Below are 21,446 nucleotides of genomic sequence, written 5' to 3'. Positions count from 1 at the left end.
TCAGTCATAATAAAACTCGATCATCTAACCTGGAAAAAACAAAGAGTATCATGGAGTGGCTGGTAAGAAAAACTAACTCAAGCAATCCTCACTCAAAGTTAAGGTTCCCAAGGACTTTCTCTATAATGAATTGTATAAATAATAACTTCGAAGCAGGACTGTCTACATAATTCATGGGGCTCAGAGAAAAATGAAAATACAGGGTTCCTTGTCCAAAACTTAAGAACTTCACACCAACATCCATTTTCTACTCCCCAAATGTATCACTAACGTTTAAGCCAGCCCCCTAAATATAGGAAACAGATACAAATTCACCGTGTTTTCTTGTAATTTAGCTCAAGAATTGCTTTCACTACCCACTTCCTCAAATTCCCATCCTTTGCCATGTGTTGCTGTCTTTAACTGTTTGAATCTAGCTTCACACACAGCCTCTTGCTTTTTTTAGTTTCTCTTCTTCACTCTCTTTTGCAAGTATGAGTCTTGTTAATCCTGGGGAGGATAATCTGATTTTGGAACCATTTCCCAGCTCATTTCTCAGTATTACCAGAAGATACATCAAACTTAACTCCTAGGGGAGCAAGACCTGCCTGCCTCTAGACCAGTGGTTCTCAAAATTCAGCAGGTGTCAGAATCACCTGAAGGATCTGTTAAACCACAGAATGCTGGGCTCGCTTTTAAAGTTTCTGATTTAACAGGCCTGGGGTGAAACAGGAGAATTTGAATTTCCAATAAATTCGTAGGTAATGCTGATGTTCTTGGTCTGGGTCATAAGAGTAATTCTGATCATTCCATATTCTGTTTGTCGTCTCCTTTACTGAAAGCCTTTATATCATGGGTTCTTCCTGAGTGTGGGGAAAACCTGTGCCTTTATTCTAACCAACAGAAAAATGGCAGAGGTGACGGGCTATTACTCCCATGACCATATTACGATGCATGAAACTCCACTTTAGCAGACAGGAGACAGATTCTCTTGCTGGCTGTGAGGAAACAGGCACCTGTGTTATGAATTGCCTATGCAGAAGGCCTCATGGCAGAGATATGAGCGTAGCCTGTAAAACCTGAGGTTAGCCTCCAAGCAACAGCTAGTAAAAAGCTGGGACCTGTCAGTGGGACAATCACACAGAAATGGATTCTTTTAAAAACCTGAATGAACCTGAATGAAGTGGATTTTTCCTTAGTTAGGCATTCAGATGAAAACACACCCTAGATGGCACCTTCCTTGTAGTCTCGTGAGACCCGGAGCAGAGGACCTGGTCTTAAGCCATGGCTGGACTCCTGGCCCACAGAAACTGTGAGACAATGAATAAGTGTTGTTTGAAACTGCAACTCCCCAGTGCCAAAAAAAAAAAAAAAATTAAGAACTTCAAGACAGCAACAGCAGAGCAATAAACCAAGTACAGGGCCCTTCTGAGCACACGGGTCATGTGGTCATGAAGCCAGCCCTCCTTTTGAGGTCCTGTGGTCAATCAAGGAGCAATGGTCTGCATAAAACTCCAGGCCCTGCACGGAACTTGGTTATCCAAGGAATCCACCCCACGGGACCAGACATTTCCTGAGCTGGAAGTCCTTGACCATGACTGAATTTTTTGGATTAGTTATCCTGTTATTTGGTTGTTGTTTTGAAGTGCTATTGATTACGGAGTTACTACCTACTGATTATCAGAAATTCCAGATCAAACAAGTTTCCATGCCAATTCCTTTAAGTTAAAGGGAGAAGAGCAATCTTCAAAAGGGTAAACAATAAATAAGTAAATAAATAAATAAATAAATAAATAAATAGTGGGTATACTGTCAGGGTAATGGTGGTGGCCAGGCACCCTCAAGGCATTGATCTCTTGCACCAGGAGGGATTGGATGGAGCTATGAAGTCTCATCCGGCCACAGGCATTAGTCTGCAAAACTCAAACTTTCCCAAGTTATATGTTAAATGCTTTTCAAAAGCAGACTTGCAGATTTGATTCACAAACCTAACATGAAATCATTAACATGAAATCGGCTTGCTCTATTTTTACCCAGCTTACACATGCTAGTCTAAAGGAATGAGACACAAGTCTTTTTCGAAAAGATTTTGGGGGAAATATGATCCAGTTGAAGTCTGAGCCAAATTTACAAAAAATACAATGCCCAGAATTTCTGTTTCCAATTGAATTCAAGGTGGGTGTCCACACGGGAAAGCCCCCTTTATGGTCTCATTGGGATAAATGATACCTTCCTTCTGCTATTATAAGGACTAGAGAGAGAGCAGTTCTCATTCCAAAACTGATTTTGACAGGTGAAGGTTCAAACGCTTCACCAAACTCTTGGAACAATAAAAAGATGGCGACTTGCCCAAAGACCTCCAGGTTCCCATCCACATGAAATAGGAGACTCCCCAAGCCTCGAAAATGAAATGTTACACAGCATCACAGGGTCAACAACGTCTGACCATCACGTAGATGAGACACTTTTCAGATCTGAACGTGCTCTGCAATGTTTACGCCGAGGGTAAAACATGGAGCAGAACCTTAAGAGGAGGAAAAGGCCAGATGAGCCGGAAGCCTTTCAGCAGGATTCCATGTGAAGACTTGCTCCAGGGCCTTTTTCGGGAATAAAATAAACCAACGCCTACCAGGTCCGCCTAACCACCTAGAATCTGCTTAGATTTCAGTGGGTTGGAATTGGGCCATGGGTTTCTCCTCCCCAAATCCAGCCAATAACAATTCCCACATAACTGGTCTTGGCTCTGGACAACCCTGACCCTCAAACCACATACATTTTCTCGAACTACTTAAAATTACTCAGTGTTGCTTCTAAGTGAGCAGGGTGGGTGTGTTTTGTTTAGTTTTGTTTTCTTTTCTTTTTAATAGCTAGAAACTTAATTTGAGCTACTGCAAATTCTGGGATGGAATGTTTTCATGTCACTTCTGTAAATCAGTTCTCTGGTCCTGGTGAAGGAGCATTCTAGAATGGATGCATTCACGGGGGTGGAAACCGGCTATTTTTAGGCAATCTTCAGAAGCATCTTGGAAACATCTTCTTTGTGGATGAGTTCCCCAGAGGTCAAGGAGATGGTGGCCTTTTACCTCTCTACTCACATCAGGAGGGCCCAGATCCACGCAACCACGTGTATGCCTACTACATTCCTGCACCAAACCATCCAGGGAGTTCCCAGAGGTCAGTTCCAGCAGCTTCTCTCCTGGTTGTTACTGATTAACCACGGTGGCAGAGGTGGTAGCCCATGAGGAGAGGCATGGACAGACACTATTCCACATTTTTGCCCTCCTGAGAAGGAATAGGTCATCCTTTGGCCACAATGCAGGTAGCTGCTGAGTCAGAAACAGCCAACAAAGTGACTGTAAGAATCAAGGAGAGGCCAGGCATGGTGGCTCACACCTATAATCTCAACACTTTGGGAGGCCGAGGCAGGAGGATCACTTGGGGTCAGGAGTTCGAGGCCAGCCTGGCTAACACGGTGAAACCCTGTCTCTACTCAAAATACAAAAATTAGCTGGGCATGGTGGTGTGTGCCTGTAATCCCAGCTACTTGGGTGGCTGAAGCACAAGAATCGCTTGAACCTGGGAGCCATAGGCTACAGTGAGCCAAGATCACCCCACTGCACTCCAGCCTGGGAGACAGAGGGAGACTCTGTCTCAAAAAAAAAAAAAAAAAAAAAAGAATCGAGGAGAGATAGGGGTGTGTAGGCCAGGCGGTTCATCTCTGTAATCCCAGCACTATGGGAAGCTGAGACAGGAGGATAGCTCGAGCCCAGGAGTTCAAGACCAGAGCCTGGGCAACATAGGGACACCCTGTCCCTACAAATAATAAAAAAAATTAGTCAGGTGTAGTGGTGCATGCCCATTAGTACCAACTAGTACTTGAGAGGCTGAGGCAGGAGGATTGCTTGAGCCAGGAGATCGAGGCTGCAGTGAACCATGATCACGCCACTGCACTCCAAGCTGGGCAACAAAGTAAGACTCTGTCTCAAAAAAAAAAAAACAAGAGAGAGAGAGAGCAAGAGAGCCTGTAATCCTAGCACTTTGGGAGGCCAAGGAGGGCAGATCACGAGGTCAGGAGTTCAAGACCATCCTGGCCAACATGGTGAAACCCAGTCTCTTCTAAAAATTTGCTGGGCGTGGTGGCATGTGCCTGTAGTCCCAGCTACTCGGGAGGCTGAGGCAAGAGAATCGCCTGAACCCAGGAGGCAGAGGTTGCAGTGAGCCAAGATAGCACCACTGCACTCCAGCCTGGGTGACCGAGTGAGACTCCGTTTCAAAAAAAAAAAAAAAAAGAGAGAGAGAGAGAGATGGGGTGTGTGCTTGACACAAGTTACCAAGGCCACACACACTCGCACTAAGACTTGGCCATCTGGGGAACAGGATGCCATGCACTGTGCACTCTGCCCCCTCATCTCTACCACCCGGAGAGGCTACATGGTAGAGGGGTTGCAAACACAGGCTCGGGAACCAGTAGCTTGACTAGATACATCGGTTTGAACAATCCATCTCTGAACCTTATTTTTCCTCATCTACCAAATAGAAATGGCCATGGTCAACTACTTCCCAGGGCTGTTATAAGGAGTAGGTAGGTTAGAGAATGCCAAGTGTCGGCCGGGCACAGTGGCTCACGCCTGTAATCCTGGCACTTTGGGAGGCCGAGGCAGGCAGATCACTGAGGTCAGGAGTTCGAGACCAGCCTGGCCAACATGGTGAAACCCTGTCTCCACTAAAAATAAAATTAGCAGGGCATAATGGCAGGCGCCTGTAATCCCAGCTACTTGGGAGGCTGAGGCACGAAAATCACTTGAACCCAGGAGGCGCGGTTGCAGTGATCCGAGATCACACCACTGCACTCCAGCCTGGGTGACAGAAAGAGACTCTGTCTCAAAAAAAAAAAAAAAAAGAAAGAAAGAGTCAAGCACAATGCCTGTCTCACAGTTGGCCGCTTAATAATGTTCCCTCCCTCCCCTCCATCCTCATTTTCCTAATACTTAAGTACCTGCTATGTGCCAAACACTCTTCCCTAGGGCCAGACATCCACAAGCCATACTCCAAGTGTTTTGTGCAAGCAGCAAGAAATGAAAAGAAGTACCTTGTGAATTAACAGGTGGTTGAAATGTTCAATTTGTCACTTCTCTGAGCCAAGCAATTAATTAGGAGGGCCATGACTGCCACCTCCAAGGCCCCTGCTCTCCTGCTCCAAAGGGAGGCTGACCCCTAACGCTGCAGCGAACCTGGGGCACGTGAGATCTCTGCAAGAAGGACACGTCTGAGAAAGAATTTTAGGTGGTTCTTGGTGTTGCTCTGAGGGTCTTGGGCCATGCTGGTCTTCTAAACCACCCGGCTCAGACGTGTCCTTCTTGCAGAGATCTCATATGCAGCACCAAGAACCACCTAAAGAACTGAACTATGGGCCGGGCATGGTGGCTCACGCCTATAATCCCAGCACTTTGGGAGGCTGAGGCAGGAGGACCTCCTGAGGTCACGAGTTCGAGACCAGCCTGGACAATATGGTGAAACCCTGTCGCTACTAAAAATACAAAAATCAGCCAGGCATGGCGGTGGGCACCTTGTAATCCCAGCTACTTGGGAGGCTGAGGCACAAGAATCACTTGAACCTGGGAGACGGAGGTCTCAGTGAGCCGAAATCACTCCATTGCACTCCAGCCTGGGCAACAGAGCAAGACTCCATCTCAGAAAAAAAAAAAAAAAAAAAAAAAGAATTGAACTACTGATATTTTATCAGACCTCCCTGAAAGAAAAGAGCAGCACATATGGGTCAGGGGTCTGGCCCCTCCTTTTTTTTTTTTTTTAAAGACAGGGTCTCGGTCATCCAGGCTAGAATACAATGGTACAATCTCTGCTCACTGCAACATCCGCCTCCTGGGCTCAAGCGATCCTTCCACCTCAGCCTCCTGGGTAGCTAGGACTACAGGCACATGCCACCCACCTGGCTAATTTAATTTTTTATAGAGACAGGGTTCCGCCATGTTGCCCAGGCTGGTCACAAACTGGCCCCTCCTTAACATCCCAGTTTACTGTGCCCCATGCTCACCTGGCCTGGAACTCCTTCCCCATCCCCTCTCCCTCTAATGCCTCTTCTATATCCAACTCTGCACAAAACTAGAATAGATCCTGTCCGTCTTGGCTGCTTGGGTGAGCCTACAGCAGCAGCAGCAGCAGCCTGTGAAGAGCTGCTGCAAGACCACCCCACATTGAAGAGCTCAGATCTCCTGCATCCAGACCCCAGGCCAGCAGGACCTGGTGCCCACTGACAGCCCAGGTCAGCTTTGCAGTTTCTCTCCATCCTTGCCTGTTTTCTGAGCCCAAACAAACCATGGCTGAATTGTAGGCTTCAGCTGTCCAAACAAAAGGGCATTCTGAACCAAAGCGGGGACAGCTGACAGCTCTCCTCAGTTCCTCAGTCAAAACCTAGCCAGATGCAACCCATCTCCCCAGACAGCAGGTTAAGGAGGACCATGTCGGTCAGCTGCCCAGGACCAGTGTCCCATTTTCAAGTCCCATATCCCTTCCATCCACACAGCCAATGAACTGTGCACTTTGGCTCAGGTACCCCAGAGGCCCCTGGGTAGGATGAAGGGGACCAAGCTGGCTTATCTCCTCCTGCTCAGGGCTTTTCTCCAGGGCCTTGATCCAATAAAAGGCTGCATGCCAACAAGGCAGACTTAAGGCCCTGATAACTGATGCCTATCTGTGGCCTTTGTCCCCTTCTCCCTCCCAGGCATGCAACTTCCACCTAGATGGTCAGTCAGCCTCCCCTGGAAGTCAGTGCTGTGCCTGTCTTTCAAATAAGCAACAAATGATATGAAATGAGCCACGGCTTCAGGACCTGAACAGTGGGCATGCCTGCTCCATGCACTCTTTCCCCGATTGCCAGCCAGGAGCCCAGACAGCGCAGTCACCTGGCTTTGGCCTGCACTAGGAGAGGCACAGCAAGGTGAGGGAAGGAACCTGGGTCCCAGTATCAGATGCCCTGCCAACCTGAAGACCGAAAAAACCCACACTCTACATGCTTTCCACAACTGTTTTTGTTGTTATTGTTTTTAAGAAAACCTCTGGCCAGGCGTGGTGGCTCACGCCTGTAATCCCAGCACTTTGGGAGGCGGAGGTGGGCGGATCACGAGGTCAGAGATCCAGACACCCCGTCTCTATTAAAAAATGCAAAAAATTAGCCGGGCGTGATGGTGGGCGCCTGTAACCCCAGCTACTCAGGAGGCTGAGGCAGGAGAATGGCGTGAACCTGGGAGGCGGAGCTTGCAGTGAGCCAAGATCATGCCACTGCACTCCAGCCTGGGCGACAGAGCGAGATTCTGTCCCAAAAAAAAAACAAAAAAAAAACAAAAAAACAAACAAAAAAAACCTCTTTGTTACAGTGGTTAAACTATAATGTGGGGATGTTCTGGGCTTTGGAAGACCAGAAGTCTCATGGGCCTATCTCAATTGGTAAGAGAAAACATAAACCACAGTAAAATACAAGTAGACAAGGGGGCCGAAGTTGGCTGGATTTCCAATTCTCTTTCTTGCTCATGAACTACTCAAAGATCACAAAGAAGCTGTTTGAATTAATTTTTATCCATCACTGTGTCAAGGGTTCAGTTAATATAAAGTTGACTTGGCAGGTCTTTTCATGTTAGTAGTTTTTCAAGAGATGATACAGTAGATCAGGAGCACCAAGTGGTGCTAGTACACTGTGTTGAGAAGGATTCTGAGGCCACATCTGGATTCAGCAAAAAAAAAAAAGACTGCTAAAATGCATTAGAAATGTCTTCCGTGAACAGGGCATGGAGAATGGAGGCAGTGAAGATTAGCAATGCCTGCCCTGGGCATGGCATGGGGGAGTCGTGGCCAGGATTTCTCTGCAACAGAACTGAGTAAACATTCCCTAATCCCTGATTTGAGATTTCTACTATAGGCCCATAACACATTCCTTATGCATAACCTCAGACTTCAAATTCCCTATTTTGCCAACTATTCCTTCTGTTCTCTCTCACTTGCTGGACAATTTTTGCCTCAAATAGTTGGAACGAATCACTTCATAAATACCTTATTGTTATTTTGGGATAGAGAGTTTGGTGAACTTTCAGCTCATAGTATCTATGATGGTGTACTGCTTCATAAATTATCCCAAACACCCTATTTCTGGTTAACAGGAATCACTGTATTTAAAAGTTCCATTTTCATCACCCAATGCCTTTATTTTCAATGCCACTTTTGAAAAGGTAAAATTTTGAGAATTACTTAATATCCAACAACAAAGCCACACTGGACTAAATAAATGATCAATGAGACAGGTCTGCTAAAGGGCCTAGGATACAGTAACTATCTTACCACTTTCTAGCACTGGGAAATCCTTTAAAAGTCAAAACGAGGATTCCAACCTCTTGTTAGAAAGGTCGAAGAAGGGAAACAAAAAAGCAGGGCTTGATGGCTTATGCCTGTAATCCCAGCATTTTGGGAGGCCAAGGCAGATGAATCACCTGAGGTCAGGAGTTCGAGACCAGCCTGGTGAACACGGTGAAACCCGTCTCTACTAAAAATACAAAAATTGGTCAGGCATGGTGGCGGGCGCCTGTAATCCCAGCTACTCAGAAGGCCGAGGCAGGAGAATAGCTTGAACCCAGGAGGTAGAGGTTGTGGTGAGCCGAGATTTCGCCATTGCACTCTTGTTGCCACTGGGCAACAAGAGCAAAACTCTGTCTCAAAAAAAAAAAAAAGAAAAAAAGAAAAAAGAAAACTTAAAGAAGAAGAAAAAAAGTATAGACACTCCAAAATGGTCAAAGCAATTGCGTTCTAAACTAAGTTTTAAACCTCAAAGCAACAGGTTGCTATACAAACTCATTCTGTTGCTGCCACACAGTTCTCCTGGACAACTGACAGTTCAAGGCCCCCAAGGACGCCTGGGCATGAGCAGAAGTGGAGGAGCTCAGAGCCCAGCCCCCAAGAGGCTCAGGTTAAAGCCCAGCATGAGCTCTGGAGGCCTCAGCCTGATGGCAGTCTGTGTCTCGCTCACAGCTTCCAGCTACAACTGCTCGGCAAACATTTCCAGCTGAAATAATAAATGCTGGCTGTGAATGGAGGTCCTCGTGACCCTTTGACTCCAGCTCAGTTTGTCATGTGGTGAGGCCACCTCACCTGAAACACAGCCCATGCTCCTGTGAGCTCAGTCTGGCCCACCCTGGGGCTGTGCACCCCACAGGGAATCCCTCGAGGAAAAGAGTGATGGGTGAAGGCAGGAGGAACCATGCCAGGGAAAGACTCCTAAACATCTCTTCTCCTTAGATCCACAGCAACCAAAATACAATGGCAGCTCGCTCTCTTCCAGCCCCCTCTCCTGGGCCAGACCCTGTGCCACTTGCATCACCTTGTGCAATCCTCACAATGACCCTGTGAGGGTGGCTTTTAGGGTTAATCCCATTTTACAGATGACATAACAGAGGCCCACAGAGGTGAAGCCAACTGCCAAAAGTGACACAGGGGGAGAATCTAGATGGAAACTCACTTCTCTCTGTTATCAAAGCCCAAACTCCTACTCTTGCTACTTCGCTGAATCTACATCATCTCATAACAACTTGATGAGGTGAGTTCAGTTATGACTCCCATTTTGGAGATGAGGAGACAGTGCACAGAAGTGATCCACACACATGCTGTGCTTGGGAGGTAAGCCAGGCTTCTCTGCCCACCAGGGCAGGGCCTCTGAATTTCCACCTGACTCAGTCATTCCCATGATGCCTGCGCTGCCGAGGCTCTCGGGAAAAACATGGTGGACAGGCAGCGTATGAACCATATAAACACAGGGCACAGAAGCACACAGAGCACAGTCCCCTTGTCTCAGCCATGACTGACTCGGCCTCTACCACACCCTGAGAACTGGGGAATTTTTTTTTTGAGACAGGGTCCGGGGTCTTGCTCTGTCACCCAAGCTGGAGTGCAGTGGCACGATCACAGCTCACTGCAGTATCGACCTCCAAGTCTCAAGCAATCCTCCTACCTCAGCTTTCTAAGTAGCTGGGACTACAGACACCTGCCACCACGCCTAGCCAGTGTGTGTGTGTCTGTGTGTCTGTGTGGTGTGTGTGTGGCGGGGGGAGACAAGGTTTTGCCATGTTGCCCAGGCTAGTCTTGAACTCCTGAACTCAAGCAATCTGCCCACATTGGCCTCTCAAAGTGCTGGGATTACAGGCATGAGCCACTGCACCTGGCTGGAACTGGGGATTCTAATGATAATGGACTGTCCCTCCATTCAAGAGGTCCCCTATGCATGCCGCACTGCTTGGCACAGAGCTATTCTCAGGTAACTCCTTGAGGGAATCAGGGAACTTGAGAGAAGATGCAGCTCTGCTCTTATTTACCCAAACCTATCAGCCTGTGTGTTTTCCAGAAAACAGGAATTAGAGTTACTCACATACTACTTGAAGATTCAATTTGCTCTATTTTTCTTTTCTCATATTCAATAAATATTTCCTAACTGCCAGCCAGGTGCTGTGGCTCATGCCTATAATGCCAGCACTTTAGGAGGCCAAGGCAGGTAGATCACCTGAAATCAGGAGTTTGAAACCAGCCTGGCGAAACTCAGGAGTTTGAGACCAGCCATGGTGAAACCCCATCTCTACTAAAAATACGAAAATTAGTTGGGCGTGGTGGTGAGTGCCTGTAGTTCCAGCTATTTGGGAGGCTGAGGCAGGAGAATTGCTTGAACCCGGGAGGTGGAGGTTGCAGTAAGCCAAGATCGCACCACTGCACTCCAGCCTAGGTGACAAGAGTGAAACTTCGTCTCAAAAAATATACACATATTTTCTAACTGCCTACTGAGCTCCCAGCTCTGTGCTGAATACCAATTATACTTTTAAATGAGAAAGTTAAATTGGCTTGAAATGACTCTACAAAGAGATAATGGCGTTATTATAATGAAAACTGGTGTCTCCACAGGGCAAGACATTGAGGACCTTTTAAAGGAAGAAAAAAAAAACCTTTTGGCTTTTTGTCCCTCATATTAGGCTATGTTTCCTGGGAGTTTTTTCCCCTTTTATAATAAAAAGTTAATAATAATAATAAATAGGATAGGTATTTATCCTTTAATTGCAAACTTACAAAAGTTGAGCTTTGTTACAAAGTCAGATCAAGGTGGCTTCCTTGGTTTAAAAGGGGAGAAATCAGCTTCCATTTTTCCCCTGTAACTCACCTCAAGTTACAACTCATATTAGCCTGCTGTAGAGATGGCAGCCTGCCCAAAGATTGTGAAGTCATAAAAGGGAACAAAACTCCTAATTTAAAGTCTTGAGTAGGAACCAAGCTGAGGAAAATTCCAAATAATTTATAACCGCTGGCTCTGACCATCACCACAGAAAAGGGAGGAAACCACAAGAAAGGAGGCCCTCAGAGGACAGATAGGGGGAACTCTGCCTGCTTTACCTACACTGACACTTTCTGGATGGCTCCTCCCTGTGCCCTGTCTTTAGCTCAGCTGACGGCTCAACTTTATATCCCCAAATCTGGACCTTTCAGCCCACAATTATGTGAGGAGGCCTCCAAACACACGTCCCACCCAATCCCAACAGAGCTCTCTGCAAACTCTCTCAGCCCAGGGACCGACCTCCTTCTTACGGGTGGAATTCCATGCCACCAACATCCAAAGTAAAAGGCATGGTGCAGGGATGGGTGGAACCCACTCAAAGAAAGGGCAGGTCGCTGGCTGAAGTAACTGGTGGCCAAGTCACCCAGGAGTCAGGGGCATTAAGTCAGTTAGTGATGGGGCAGCTAGAAGTTCAGACGTCCTGCTGGGGCGTCAGAGAAGCCTGGTTCACCTCCCAAGCACAGCGACTTGGCAAGCTGTGTGACCATGAGTGGGTCGATTCCCTGTGCTCAGTGTCCTCACCTGCAAAATGAGAGTCGTAACTCCCTCGCCTCATCAGGCTGCGGTGATACGATGGAGTAAAGCAAGCAAGCAGCACTGCCTGACGACTGTCCCATCAAATTCACGGGGGCTACTACAACCACTGTTATTACTACCATAGTATTATAACACACACAAGTTTGGGAGCTAAGGGTGCCTCCCCGTTGGCATTGTGAAAAGGATTCAAGCCATTCAATTCTGGTTCAAGACTGCTCAGAGCCGAATGCCCTAGAATTCCGCCTTCTAGCACAGATGAGCATTCCATCTGCTAATGACCACAAGAGCTGGGTCCCTAATGGGACACAGCATTAAGGCTGATAGAATCAAGATGTTTCTTGCTCGGTGAGCTGCTGAATGAACTGGCAGTGTGCTCTAGTCTGCAGGCCACCCCAACTCCTCCCACAGATTCCGGGGCAGTCTGCAGGGGCCAGGCTGGGGCCACTGCTGATAGAAAATTAAACACAAGGTCCGTAAATTCAATTTGAAGTTCCCTAACATGATTTCTTTTTCTAATGGGAGGTGGGGGAGGTTTTGATATTAAAGTGATCTTTAGCCATTAAAGCAGTTCATTACAAGACAACTGGTGGGGGGAGGGAGGGAGAACTGAAAACAAATGCCTCCCTGACAGTAAGTGGTTAAATAAACTTTACATTCAAGCAAGAGGAAAACAGGGTGCTGTGAAAAGAATAAGAAATGTTTGTTTGTTCCAATATGAATAGGCTTCTATGATGTATTAAGGGAAGGGGATAATTTGTAGAAAAGTATGAATTGTACAATCCTGTTTTTCAGAAGTCATGACTGCATCTGAACAGAAAGATCTGGAAGCATAAACACCAAACTGTCCTCACTGGCTCCTTCTAGGAAGAAAACTAAGAAGCTGATGGTGGAAGATGGGCTTTCATTTTATTGTTGTTATTTATTCTGCATTGCTTGATTTTTTATTTTTATTTTTTAATGGAGTCTCGCTCTGTCACCCAGGCTGGAGTGCAGTGGCATGATTTCGGCTTACTGCAACCTCCGCCTCCCAGGTTCAAGCGATTCTCCCACCTCAGCCTCCCAAGTAGCTGGGATTACAGGCGCCCCCCATCATGCCCAGCTAATTTTTGTGTTTTTCTAGAGACAGGGTTTCACCATGTTGGCCAGGCTGGTCTTGAACTCCTGATCTCAGGTGATCTGCCCACCTTGGCCTCCCAAAGTGCTGGGATTACAGGCATGAGCCACCACACCCAGCCCCCCCAAAAATTTAATTTTTAAAATTTAAACTACATATGTTACTTTTTTTTTTTTTTTTGGAGGCCAGGGGGAGACAGGGTCTCACTCTGTCACCTAGGCTGGAGTGCAGTGGTGCAATCACGGCTCACTGCAACCTCGACCTCTGAGGATCAGGCTCCCGACTCAGCTTCCTGAGTATCTGGGACATTTGGGTCCCAAGTAGCTGGGACAGTCACCACCATGCCTGGCTAATTTTCGTAATTTTTGTAGAGACAGGATTTCGCCAGGTTTCCCAGGCTTGTCTTAAACTCCCGGGCTCAAGCAATCCTCCCATCTCGGTCTCCCAAAGTGCTGGGATCACAGGAATGAGCCACCATGCCCTACCCATCTGTTACTTTTATAATAAATCTTGACATACATCATCAAAAAAAGAAACATAGTACAATACATATGAAGAACTCTTCATCTTAACAAAATTGCTTGTCAGGATCTATAGGTACTAACGTGGGAAAATCAACAGGTATTATGAAATGATAAAAGCAATGTGTATGACAGGTTCAAATTTGAGTACAGGGTACTACAGAAGTAATATAATTGAATTCATCTATGTACAGACTGTCTCTTGACAAGACAAAAAACTGTTCCCAGACCATGCAGTTGCTTCTGGAAAGAGCAGCAAGGAATAGAGGTGAGGTGGGGTGGTAGGGCAATGGCCTTTCACCTGTTTGTTTAAATCGCTAGTGCAATGTTACCTATCAGCAAAGGAATACCTGGAGACTCTGTGGGTTTGCCTGATTGTCTTTCTGATGCTCCTTGGCTCAGCTTTCTCAGTGGCCATCCAAATGCCTTCCATTCCTCACCAGACACACCCGTCCTGGACAAGCAATCTCCCAGCCTCAGGAGATGGACTTTGCCATTTCCAAACAGCTTGCCAGAGGAGTCGATGTTGAAGATTACATTGCAAAAGATGGAGTCATTTGGTTGCCTTTGGGCATGTTTTTCTTTTCTTTTCTTTTCTTTTCTTTCTTTCTTTTTTTTTTTTTTTTTTTTTTTTTTTTTTGAGACAAGGTCTTGCTCTGTTGCCCAGGCTGGCCTCAAGCAATCCTCCTGCCCCAGCCTCACAAGTAGCTGGGACTACAGGGGTGTGTGCCACCACGCCCAGCTAATTTTTTGGGTCAGCCAGGCACAGTAGCTCACGCCTATAATCCTAGCACTTTGGGAGGCCAAGGTGGATGGGTCACCTGTGATCAGGAGTTCGAGACCAGCCTGGCCAACATGACAAAACCCCATCTCTACTAAAAGCACAAAAATTAGCTGGGCACAATGGCACACGCCTGTAATCCCAGCTACTTGGGAGGCTGAGGCAGGAGAATCACTTGAACCTGGGGGTGAAGGTTGCAGTGAGCTGAGATTGCGCCACTGCACTCCAGTCTGGGCAACAGAGCGAGACTCCATCTCAAAAAAAAAAAAAAAAAAAGAGAGACAGGGTCTCACCATGTTGCCCAGGCTGATCTCAAACTCCCGGGCTCAAACAATGCTCCCGCCTCTGCCTTCCAAAGTGCTGGAATTACAGGCATGAGCCACCACACCCAGCCTTGGGCATGTTTTTCAAGCCACCAAAAAACAAAAACAAAAAACACCCACCTTCCTAACTCCCTTGCGCCCCCGTTCACTTGCACCCTAGGAGAGCTTGTCCATTATGCAGAGGTCCGACCTCCCAGTGAGAGGTGAAACCTGAGGGCTTGGCCCTGTGCAGTTACCCCCCTGAATCCTTACAGCTGCTTTATGAGGAACTGCTGTTGGCTCCATTTTCCAGATTAAGAAAAATAATGAATAGGTCAATTAAACCCAAAGTCAGAGTTGATAAGCAGCAGAGCAGGAATTTGAACCCAGGCCATGACTCCAGAATCCACTGTTGGCTATTTCACCCTGGAGACCCAAACGGGAGTACACAGGAAGATGCCCAAACAAGGACATGATGGTGTTACAAAAGCTTTAAAAACTCAGAACCAAGTAGGGGGAAAATGCTGAGGGTTACATCATCCTCCTAAAAGAGATTTATCAGTGTGCCCCTGAACTCTGGCCCGTGATAAACGGTCGTGGCAGTAAGATAAACAGAACAAGTACACAGCAGATCGGCTTTGCTGCTAAAGGGGGAACACATTCTAACATTCCTGAGGCGCACTGTCCAAGGGCAGGCCAGGCAAGAAACACACGATAAATATCCAAGGCATCACCCCATCCACCAGCTGCTGCCGTGGCTGGAGACGCAGTCCACAGTCAGGGCTCTTTATGACCAGCTCATCTAAACAGTCTGCACCTTAGTCAGAAGCTGCTTCCCGGCTCAACAAGAACCCCAGCTGCAGTGTCTACATCTCAGAGCAGCTCTGCCTGAACCTAGCTCTGAAAAGCTAGGTCCAGCATCCCCCTAGACCACACTCACAGACAAGGCTCTCTCCTCTTACCACCTGGCCTATTTACTAAAGTTTTTCCTTCACTCATGTTTTCTTTTTTCCTTAGCTTAAGTAATTATGTCCTGGAAATCACAGGTTTGATACATTAGTTGCATTTTATAAACACATGAAAAACACATGTTAGAATTTTTAAATGTGTAACATGAGTATCATCTTCAGTACCACCTCTTAGAAAAGACTACCAGATGTTAGCTGGTTTTTCCAGAAAAGGGGGTTTCAGTGGCCAAACAACTGGGGGCACACTAGACTAAACAATTTTTTAACTGCTGCAGGACTTCTCAGAGCCTTTAACATGCCAACGTACATTGACAATCTCAAAGAGAGGGCTACAGTGTCACAGGGAATTTGCCAACACTATTGGACTAGCGGATGTTTAAAAATTTTATCTCCAAAGAGACTAATGTTCTCCAGAAGATAGTTTGGGTAAGTCCACTTTAAACTGCTCTTCAGATCCTCTATGAACAAGTCTCCCAAACATTCCCAGAGGCTGGGAGGTTACATTCTATAAAACTGGCAGGAGTGAGGATGAGACACAGGCAATAAACACACAGAAAGAAAGGAAGACAGGAAATAAGGAATTGGAGCTTTCTCTAATCTACAACTTTCTGTGGCAGTGATTAAGAAATGAGAATCTCGCTATTTGGATTCAAGAAGTTTTGCAGATAAAGGACAATAAAAAGCAGTTTTCAAAACGCTGTCCCTAATTAAGGATGCTAAAGGGAAGCACACCCTTTTGCACAATCCTTAGCCAGTGTTTATGAAATTCAGGCGACAACCAACTCACTTAAAAACCACATTAAGGAACATCTTATTGTTCCAGTGCAAACTGTAATTCTTAAACAACAGGCGATGATTTTGAGGAATTTGGGCGAAAACCAGCTTCTCCTCCTTTCTAGGTTTCCTTTAGAGCAATATGTTGTCTGTGACGAAGATTTAGACAAGTAGGAAGATGCAGGGATGGAGCCCCATAATTTGGCCCACTGCTTACATCAGTAGAAAGAGAGGGAGTCGTCCTGATGTGGGCAACTGGAACATCAAATTATGTGAAAGGGGGAAACCTTCAGAACCTCCAGCCAACTGCCGCTTCACTCTAAACTTCCTACACAGGAGAGGAAAGATAACTTAGTAAAAGTTAGTAAAAACTATTTCTGTAATAACTAAAACACATCCAAGTAGCATCCCTAATGCTACTGAAAGATAAAACGCTCACATGCACAATAATAGCAATGAGCCACGAAGCTTGAGTGCTAAAAAAATCCACTCAACTGGCCAGGCACAGTGGCTCACCCCTGTAATGCCAGCACTTTAGGAGGCCAAGGCAGGCGGATCACCTGAGGTCGGGAGTTCGAGACCAGCCTGACCAATATGGTGAAACCCCCAACTCTTAAAAATACAAAATTAGCCCGGCGTGGTGGCGCATGCCTGTAATCCCAGCTACTCGGGAGGCTGAGGTAGGAGAATCGCTTGAACCTGGGAGGCGGAGGTTGTGGTGAGCTGAGACTGTTCCACTGCACTCCAGCCTGAGCAACAAGAGCAAAACTCTGTCTCAAAAAAAAATCCACTCGACTTACATGTGGTATTAGATCCAAATCTGAGATTCCATCGACTATAATGTAAGTGTAACCAACCTAACCCAACAACCACTAATCAACAAATAATTACCAAGGGACCACCCACCCAGTCAACCAACTACCAAACTACTCATAAAAACCCAATTGGATTCATCCTAGACTACTCTCTCCCACCAAATCCACTCTCCCTGAATCCTGTTAGCTGCCTCTAAGTTGTTCCCTAGCCCAGCAGCCATCATCTAATGTCAGGCCCCTTTACTGGCCTACAAATCAAAACTCTTCCCAAATCTCCCCGCTGAACCCAGAGGGTAACCTCATACCCTTCAGGCACAGCTCCATCTCAGGAACCAACAAAACACTTCTAAAGCTAGGTAGAGGCAGACAGGACAGATTGGGCACAAAACATTAGAAAATTGAAAGGAAATGAAATTAATAGAAGTATAATTCAGTGCTTGCAAACCATCATCTTCACTAATTACTAACTTTGCTATTTATAGAAGTTGCAGGCCAGGCATGGTGGCTCATTCATGCCTGTAATCCCGGTATGTTGGGAGGCCAAAGTGGGTGGATTGCTTGAGCTCAGGAGTTCAGGATCAGCCTGGGCAACACAGTGAGACCCCATTTCTACAGAAAATACAAAAATTAACCAGGCATGGTGGCACGTGCCAGTAGTCCCAGCTACTCAGGAGACTGAGGTGGGAGGATTGAGCCCAGGAGGTCAAGGCTGCAGTGAGCCCTGTTCATGCCACTGCACGCCAGCCTGGGTAACAAAGAGAGACCTCACCTCAAAGAAAAAAGAAAATGAGTTATAGGTTAGTTTTCTCACATCCCAAGAATTTCCAAGTATACACTGATTGCTGAGAAATTACAGTCAATTGTTAAATAACTGAGTTAGTCACAGGGCGTGGTGGCTCACGCCTGTAATCCCAGCACTTTGGGAGGCCGAGGCAGGCAGATCAGGAGGTCAGGAGATCAAGACTATCCTGACCAATATGGTAAAACCCCATCTCTACTAAAAATACAAAAATTAGCTGGGTATGGTGGAGCACGCCTGTAATTCTAGCTACTCGAGAGGCTGAGGCTTGAACCCAGGAGGCGGCGACTGCAGTGAGCCGAGGTCATGCCACTGCACTCCAGCCTGGGCAACAAAGCGAGACTCCGTCTCAAAAATAAATAAATAAATACATAACTGAGTTAGTCATAGCCAAATACTTTTTTAAAACACAAGTATGAGCAAGACCAAAACTTTTTTTAAAAAGTTTCAAACTATTTTACAGCAATAAACACCAACACACTTTTTTTAAAGTGTGAAAAGTGGGTGTGTTTCATTGTATTTGATATGATAGGCTTAGGGTCTAAGGTCTTAAAAAACATCCCAGCATCTGGCCGGGTGCGGTGGCTCACACCTGTAATCCCAGGACTTTGGGAGCCCGAGGTAGGCAGATCACAAGGTCAGGAGTTCGAGACTAGCCTGGTCAACATGGTGAAACCCCCACCTCTATTAAAAATACAAAAATTAGCTTGGCATGGTGGTGGGCGCCTGTAATCCCAGCTACTCAGGAGCCTGAGGCAGAAGAATCCCTTGAACCCAGGAGGAGGAGGTAGTAGTGAGCCGAGATCATGCCACTGCACTTCAGCCTGGGCGACAGAGTGAGACTCCACCTCAAAAAAAAAAAAAATAAATAAATAAATAAATAAATAAATAAATAAAATTTATTAATGGCATTTCTTTTCATTACAAACGAAGACCATAAAACACAGGTGTATTAGCAGCACCTGTCGTTTTATCACCAAAGAAATCAGATTTTCTCCTGTCATTGACTGTTTTAGATAGCACAAACTATCCTTTATGCCATTGCTACATGATAATTATAGTAGTTCTTAGACTCACTGTTAGATCTTGTTATTACACATTTTAATACAGATGTGCATTTATTGCTATATCTAAAAATTTTATTTCTGATATCTATTTCAATATCATTGGTTTCCTTTGCAATTCCATGTATATTATTAAGTGGAAAGAAAGAGTACAGTCTTCAGAGAGCCCAAGGGGTCCAAGACATATTAAGTTAACAACTCTGGCTACAATTAATAATTTTTAGAACCAAAAAGTAAAAGGACTTCAAAATTTGGCCCACAGGCCATAGTTTTCCCTACTACACACCACAGCACCACTGTCTATTAGCACCACTGATGTGGTTTGGCTGTGTCCCCACCCAAATCTCATCTTAAACTGTTCCCATTTGTAGTTCCTCATTTGTCAAATGAGACACAGATTAATGGAACCATTCCTGCCAGGGCAAGACCTCAGTCATCTCTCACGCAGACTCTTGGAAGTCACTGAAAATGGGTCTCTCCACAAATATGGCCCGCCCACCACCACGAGTTATCCTCTTAGGCCATAAATACAATCATTCATGTTACTCCTGGCTTGAACACCTTCTACCGTACCCTACCATCTACAGAAGAGGTCAGCAAACTTTCCATAAAGGGCCAAAGAGTAAGTTTTTTTTTTTTGAGAGACAGAATCTCACTCTGTCACCCAGGCTGGAGTACAGTGGCATGATCCCAGCTCACTGCAACCTCTGCCTTCTGGGTTCAAGCAATTCTCGTGTCTCGACACCCAAGTAGCTGGGATTACAGGCAAGCACCACCAAGCCTAGCTAATTTTTGTATTTTTGGTAGAGACAGGATTTCACCATGTTGGCTAGGATGGTCTTGAACTCCTGACCTCAAGGGATCTGCCCACCTCAACCTCCCAAAGTGCTGGAATTACAGGCATGAGCCACCATGCCTGGCCTGGATAGTAAATATTTAGGTTTTGTGGGCCACACAGTCTCTTTGCAACTATTTGGATCTATTGTTGCAGTGTGAAAGCATCCATAGACAGTACATAAATAAATGAGTGTGGCCTATGTTCCAATAAAACTTTATAAAAATAGGCAGAGGACCAGATATGGCCCCCATGCCATAGTTTTCCCACCTACACACCACAGCACCACTGTGGTGTGTAACAACACTGATGTGGCTTGGCTATGTCCCCACCCAAATCTCATCTTAAATTGTAGTTCCCATAATCCCCACAGGTCATTGGAGGGACCTGGTGGGAGGTAATTGAATCAGGGGAATGGTTACCCCCATGCTGCTGTTCTCACAAGATCTGATGGTTTTATAAGGGGCTTTTCCCCCTCTTCTCTCTGCACTTCTCCTTGCTGCGGCCTCCATGTGAAGAAGGACATGTTTGCTTCCCCTTCTGCCATGATTGTAAGTTTCCCGAGACTTCCCCAGCCCTGTGGAACTGGGAATCAATTAAACCTCTTTCCTTTATAAATTACCCAGTCTCAGGTATTTCTTCACAGCAGTGTTGAGAACGGACTAATACAACTGCTGTTCAATAGAAGTTTCTGCAACGATGGAAATGTTTTATATGTACACTGTCCAGTGCATCAGCCACAAGCCACATGTACCTATTGAACACTGGATATACTTGGTATGGCTGAGCTTAATTTTAAATTTGATTTAATTAATTTAGCCACGTGACTGGAGGGTAGAACAGTCAAATCAAAGGTAACTTTTATGTAAACTTTGGAGGTTCTTTAGAACCCAGCCAGCAATATAACTGATCCTCCCAACACTTCCCAAGCACTCAGCACCAAGCTCCAGAGCCAGTGAGTGGGCAATTCCAGGCACTCTCACACTCCTGCACTTCCCACTACTGGGCCCTTCTTTGCCCAGAAGGTCCTTTGTCTTCTGAATTCACCCCCTTAAGCCCCAGTGTTCACCAACCCCACCCTGCCACGGGCCTTCTAGGACAGCCCAGGTGAAAGGTGTTGCTCTTCGCGCCTCTGGGAGGCACTGCAATGAGACTTGTGCAGCAACTTGTGAACACTTTCTCTGTCTTTACTTCTTCACTCTAAGATAGCGGAAGACGAGGCCATGTCCCTAGCACAGGGCCTGTAAAATTAGTAAGAATGCACTGTTTGTAAAATGAACACACTTTCATTTAAAAAAACCACATGTTTGGGCCAGGTACAGTGGCTCACGTCTGTAATCCCAGCACTTTGGGAGGCCGAGGCGGGCAGATCACAAGGTCAGGAGATAAAGACCATCCTGACTAACACAGTGAAACCCTGTCTCTACTAAAAATAAAAAAAAAATTAGCCGGGCATGGTAGTGGGTGTCTGTAGTCCCAGCTACTGGGGAGGCTGAAGCAGAAGAATCACTTGAACCCAGGAGGCAGAGGTTGCAGTGAGCTGAGATAGCGCCACTGCACTCCAGCCCGGGTGACAGCGAGACTCCGTC

At 46.1% G+C, this 21,446-nt stretch overlaps 1 protein-coding gene across 4 annotated transcripts in view, besides 3 other annotated features; it reads right to left on the bottom strand.

The window, feature by feature from the left end:
- Positions 1 to 21,446, bottom strand: part of FLNB (filamin B) — a 163,830-nt gene that overhangs the window by 97,323 nt on the left and 45,061 nt on the right. The gene's annotated exons all lie outside the window — the stretch shown is intronic.
- Positions 431 to 620: an enhancer, noted in NCBI's record as "active region_19998". NCBI's record gives its function as "activates an Ori minimal core promoter by ATAC-STARR-seq in GM12878 lymphoblastoid cells {active_cell/tissue: GM12878}" and the evidence as "EXISTENCE:reporter gene assay evidence [ECO:0000049][PMID:35858748]".
- Positions 8,626 to 9,503: an enhancer, noted in NCBI's record as "H3K27ac-H3K4me1 hESC enhancer chr3:58051153-58052030 (GRCh37/hg19 assembly coordinates)". NCBI's record gives its function as "activates a minimal SCP1, AML or CMV promoter by ChIP-STARR-seq in naive H9 embryonic stem cells {active_cell/tissue: H9 hESC(naive)}" and the evidence as "EXISTENCE:reporter gene assay evidence [ECO:0000049][PMID:30033119]".
- Positions 19,182 to 19,719: an enhancer, noted in NCBI's record as "H3K27ac-H3K4me1 hESC enhancer chr3:58040937-58041474 (GRCh37/hg19 assembly coordinates)". NCBI's record gives its function as "activates a minimal SCP1, AML or CMV promoter by ChIP-STARR-seq in primed H9 embryonic stem cells {active_cell/tissue: H9 hESC(primed)}" and the evidence as "EXISTENCE:reporter gene assay evidence [ECO:0000049][PMID:30033119]".

This window comes from Homo sapiens, chromosome 3 (assembly GCF_000001405.40).
Source record: "Homo sapiens chromosome 3, GRCh38.p14 Primary Assembly".
Lineage (NCBI taxonomy): Eukaryota > Metazoa > Chordata > Mammalia > Primates > Hominidae > Homo > Homo sapiens.
This window is presented reverse-complemented; position numbering and strand designations above follow the sequence as displayed.